This window comes from Homo sapiens, chromosome 5, assembly GCF_000001405.40.
Source record: "Homo sapiens chromosome 5, GRCh38.p14 Primary Assembly".
Taxonomy (NCBI): Eukaryota; Metazoa; Chordata; class Mammalia; order Primates; family Hominidae; genus Homo; species Homo sapiens.
This window is the reverse complement of record NC_000005.10, coordinates 158,258,058-158,264,057: the sequence shown is the minus strand read 5'-3', so window position 1 is coordinate 158,264,057 and position 6,000 is coordinate 158,258,058.

The window sequence follows — 6,000 nt, the reverse complement described above, 5'->3', positions numbered from 1 at the left end:
AAATTTCAGCTAAGCCTCTGTTGAAATAATCACTAACACTGACTTGCAGAAACAATAGTCATCATTACATCTAAAACTTTCAAGCCCTTGTGTTATGTCAGTTGCCATGCTAAGTGCTATAAGTGTTTTATATCACCGACGGTCACAAGACTAGAAGGTAGGTTGTTCTATTTTACAGACAAAAACACTGAAGCCAAAGGTCCCACCACTAGTGAAGACTGTCTGAATTTCAGAGCACATGCTTTTAAATGAATGCAAAATCAATGGAGTTGTGTCACGTATATGCAGTTCAGGGTTAAAATAAGTAAGTAGGTTGGCAAAAGTCCCAAATATATCCAAAAGCACAGAGGGAACAAATGTGATTTTTTTCCTACCAATTTCCTTTTAACCTCCTGATTTCTAGAGGGACCGATTTTGCTCTGTGCCTCCCGTTCTTTCTCCTGCCCTCCAATCAAGGATGCTCAAGTGGTAAAATCCACTTAAAATATGGAAAATGTTCCTTCCTGTCGCTTCAGGTGCTTGTCTGTTTGAGGTGACTCGAGGAGGTCTGGTGAAGAGGGATCTTGGAGAATGGTGTATAATTCCCATCTCTAAAGTTAAATTATTAATTTTTTATCAATTAATTGGATGAGGATTGGTGGGAAAGAGAGGCCCACAGCTCAGCAGGGCTCTACTGGGTGCCGAATAAAACAAGAAACCCACCCGGGTGAGATGGATAAGTGAAGGGGAAGAGAAGCCACAGTGGTAATAAATGTGAGAATCCCCTACTTTCAGGAGAGGGGAGCAAACCACCTCCCAGGAGGAGAGATGCAGAATCGCTCAGATTTCTCCAGGGGGATGGAGGGGGTTGGTTAACAGAATCAGCCCTCCAGGCCTTGTACAAAGAGACTCTACTGCTTGCCTGGGAGTCGTTTTTCTTAATTCTTTCACATACTGAAGAAGATCAGATCCCAGAGAAGAGAAGTTTCTAGCCTCCCTTTTGACAAATAGAAGGTGTTCTTACTCAGAATACTGTTGTTTAATAATGAAAATAGCTTGTATTTTCTGGGTATGTACATAAATTACATTTGCTATAAGAATGTCAAGTTATTTTTAAAACATATTTTCAAATGCCTTTTTTACACTTGATGTTCCACTACCCCTCATTGTTAATGTTTTGGGGGCATCATTCCACACACCTCTTTTTGCTGATAGGGACAGCTATAAAAATCTGGTTATTAGTTTATTGAACAAATACCTACTATGTTTCAGAGATCATAGCTATGCATGTTATTCTCGACCATTTTTTATTCAATAAAATGATGTGAACTTATTTTTACATTAACAGAAATCTACATGATGATTTGGAGTCATTTCATCGTGTCTCACCATAATTCCAATGATAGACCTTTAAGTTTTTTCCAACTCCTTGCAATCAAAAACAATGGTACAATAAGAAGCCTTTTAACATTGCTTTGATTATGTGTTCCAGATAAAAGTCACTGGGCATTCAAAACACCTCACATTTATATAATATTAATACCTTACTATTCAAGTTGGTGTCATATTCATAGGATAGCAAGAAAGAGGCTGATTTCTGTAAAACTCACATCAAAATTGGTCTCATTGTTTCATAGTTACATGAAAGACACCTAGCTTTCCCTAGTAAATTTGAGAAAGCAAACTTTGACAGATGAGGAAATCCAATCACAAAACATATGTGTATATAAAAGAGCATGAGAAAGAGGGAGGCCTAAAGATAGCTCCCAGAAACTAAAACCAGGTATCCTGAAAAATCTACAATGAAGTATAGCAGGTGCATGTCCACCAGACCAAAAGAAGCCTGGCAGTCCAGCACATCCTTGCAGATAAAAAAAGTTCCCTGAGTGCAAAGCTAATACCTGTCTGACTCACCAGTATGTTTCTGGTGACTAGCTTGGGGCTTGAAATATGATAGGTACTCAATAAATGGCTCTGGGTTTAATGAAGGAACGAATGAGCAAATCACAAAACAAGTCTTCCTGGACCTCTGCAAACTGCAGTCAACTTCCCAACTTCATCCCCACTCAGCATTAGAAACTCTGAAATAAAGCCCAGAAATCCAGAGCTAGTAAATTACATGAAGCTCTTAGCCTACAAGAAGTTTCTCTTTCTGAAGGAGCTGTGGACAGTAAATCTCCTTCAAGCAACAGCAGATCCTTGAACCCAAGGATTGGGCCAAGAGAGACTTGTCAAAAAGTCAACACAGAAGAGGAGCCCTCTCATGTAGTACTTTATTTCGCCTGTTCTGAACATTTCTTCTTAACTTCTGCGAGCAAATTCCATTCATCTCCCCCATCTCTTCCCCTCCTCCTCACCCACAATATTACCTCACCCTCTGCCTCTTTGTCAGAAATCTGTCTAGAGTACTAATTCATACATACACACACTGTACATGTAAAGGAGCTTTATAAAGTGGGTGGTTCTTGAAAATCAGCCATTCATCATGTATATTGATCACCAGGGTAGTATGGTATGAATCAGAGAGCAGCAATCATTAAATCAAAGATTTATACTAGTAAAAGAGCACCAAAGTAATTCATCAATTCTATACCACCCTCAGTGATTAGTTAGGTTCCAACCTGATAGCTTAGAAGCTGGTTCACAATTAAGACTATTACACTTAGAGGTAGGTTGCTTTCCCCCTTCTCCCCTTCCTTTCAGAAAGAATCAAAAGGGAAAGGACACTAGTCTGCTGGTCTTATGGCATTTTGTACATCTCCTTTATAGCACTTAACACAGTTTGTAAATATAAAGTCAATAATGTGATTATATATTTAAATTATCTCCCTCCATTAGTCCATAAGGTCCTTAGCGCCTCTAGCACAGTGTCTAGCACATAGTAAAAGCTCAATCAAGACACATTGAGCAATCAATTTATTAACTGGATACTTCTAATGCTACAGGCCCACGTACAACAGGGCTTCCAATGCTTCCCCCTGGGTCTTGTCCTTGAAAAAGTTAAATATAATCTTTCTAGACTAGAAAACCACTCTGAAAAGTTATTTGGCAGAATCTACTGCAATTGAAAACATGCAATTTCTATGACCCAGCAATTCCAATGCTGGGTATATACTCACACAAAAGTGTAAACAAATGCCCACCAAGACATGTTTGAGAAAGTTCATAGAAGCCTTGTAATTAATAACCTAAACTGAGAACAACCCAATTGTTCATCAAAAGAAAAACGGATGAATAAAATGTGGTATGTTCACATAATCAAGTTCTACACAGCAATGAGTTAATGAATAAGCTGTAACTTCATTCAACATGGGTAAATCTCCTAAATGTTATGTTGACAGAATGAAACCAGACACAAAGAAGTACATGCTGTGTGACTCTATTTATGTTACATTCAAAAACAGGCAAAATCAATTTATGGCATCAGAAGTGGGATAGTAATTTCCTTCAAACAGTTAGTGACCGGGAGAGGGCAGAGGGGGGCTTCTGGGACATAGATAAGGTCCTGTTTCTCCTCTGGGTGCTGGTTACTCAGGTGTTCTTTTTGTGAAAATTCATCCAGTTATTTTCTATTGTCTCATTTTGTGGAAATCAATACAGCTATATGATTAGAGCTCTTTTTTTTTTATACTTTAAGTTTTAGGTTACATGTGCACAATGTGCAGGTTAGTTACATATGTATACATGTGCCATGCTGGTGCGCTGCAACCACTAACTCGTCATCTAGCATTAGGTATATCTCCCAATGCTATCCCTCCCCCCACCCCACAACAGTCACCAGAGTGTGATGTTCCCCTTCCTGCGTCCATGTGTTCTCATTGTTCAATTCCCACCTATGAGTGAGAATATGCGGTGTTTGGTTTTTTGTTCTTGCAATAGTTTACTGAGAATGATGATTTCCAGTTTCATCCATGTCCCTACAAAGGACATGAACTCATCATTTTTTATGACTGCATACTATTCCATGGTGTATATGTGCCACATTTTCTTAACCCAGTCTATCATTGTTGGACATTTGGGTTGGTTCCAAGTCTTTGCTATTGTGAATAGTGCCGCAATAAACATATGTGTGCATGTGTCTTTATAGCAGCATGATTTATAGTCCTTTGGGTATATACCCAGTAATGGGATGGCTGGGTCAAATGGTATTTCTAGTTCTAGATCCCTGAGGAATCGCCACACTGACTTCCACAATGGTTGAACTAGTTGACAGTCCCACCAACAGTGTAAAAGTGTTTCTATTTCTCCACATCCTCTCCAGCACCTGTTGTTTCCTGACTTTTTAATGATTGCCATTCTAACTGGTGTGAGATGATATCTCATTGTGGTTTTGATTTGCATTTCTCTGTTGGCCAGTGATGTTGAGCATTTTTTCATGTGTTTTTTGGCTGCATAGATGTCTTCTTTTGAGAAGTGTCTGTTCATGTCCTTCGCCCACTTTTTGATGGGGTTGTTTGTTTTTTTCTTGTAAATTTGTTGGAGTTCATTGTAGATTCTGGATATTAGCCCTTTGTCAGATGAGTAGGTTGCAAAAATTTTCTCCCATTTTGTAGGTTGCCTGTTCACTCTGATGGTAGTTTCTTTTACTGTGCAGAAGCTCTTTAGTTTAATTAGATCCCATTTGTCAATTTTGGCTTTGGTTGCCATTGCTTTTGGTGTTTTAGACATGAAGTCCTTGCCCATGCCTATGTCCTGAATGGTAATGCCTAGGTTTTCTTCTAGGGTTTTTATGGTTGTAGGTCTAACATTTAAGTCTTTAATCCATCTTGAATTGATTTTTGTATAAGGTGTAAGGAAGGGATCCAGTTTCAGCTTTCTACATATGGCTAGCCAGTTTTCCCAGGACCATTTATTAAATAGGGAATCCTTTCCCCATTGCTTGTTTTTCTCAGGTTTGTCAAAGATCAGATAGTTGTAGATATGTGGCATTATTTCTGAGGCCTCTGTTCTGTTCCATTGATCTATATCTCTGTTTTGGTACCAGTACCATGCTGTTTTGGTTACCGTAGCCTTGTAGTGTAGTTTGAAGTCAGGTAGCGTGATGCCTCCAGCTTTGTTCTTTTGGCTTAGGATTGACTTGGTGATGCAGGCTCTTTTTTGGTTCCATATGAACTTTAAAGTAGTTTTTTCCAATTCTGTGAAGAAAGTCATTGGTAGCTTGATGGGGATGGCATTGAATCTGTAAATTACCTTGGGCAGTATGGCCATTTTCACACGATATTGATTCTTCCTACCCATGAGCATGGAATGTTCTTCCATTTGTTTGTATTCTCTTTTATTTCCTTGAGCAGTGGTTTGTAGTTCTCCTTGAAGAGGTCCTTCACATCCCTTGTAAGTTGGATTCCTAGGTATTTTATTCTCTTTGAAGCAATTGTGTATGGGAGTTCACTCATGATTTGGCTCTCTGTTTGTCTGTTGTTGATGCATAAGAATGCTTGTGATTTTTGTACACTGATTTTGTATCCTGAGACGTTGCTGAAGTTGCTTATCAGCTTAAGGAGATTTTGGGCCGAGACAATGGGGTTTTCTAGATATACAATCATGTCGTCTGCAAACAGGGACAATTTGACTTCCTCTTTTCCTAATTAAGTACCCTTTATTTCCTTCTCCTGCCTAATTGCCCTGGCCAGAACTTCCAACACTATGTTGAATAGGAGCGGTGAGAGAGGGCATCCCTGTCTTGTGCCAGTTTTCAAAGGGAATGCTTCCAGTTTTTGCCCATTCAGTATGATATTGGCTGTGGGTTTGTCATAGATAGCTCTTATTATTTTGAGATATGTCCCAGATTAGAGCTCTTTTCTGTATGTATGTGATAGTGCAAACATTTTTTTAAAGAGTTAGCCTGATTTTTCTCTATGTGATAAAGGAGTGGTAAATATCTTCATGTGTACCCAAAAGCCCAAATCCAAATTTCAGAAAGTGTCATCCAGGTAAAAAACAAAAAGGAGGTCAGGTTTCAAATGAGAGATTAGATTCCATGTCCTTCCAATTCTAACATTCTGTGATTCTATGATGTCACCT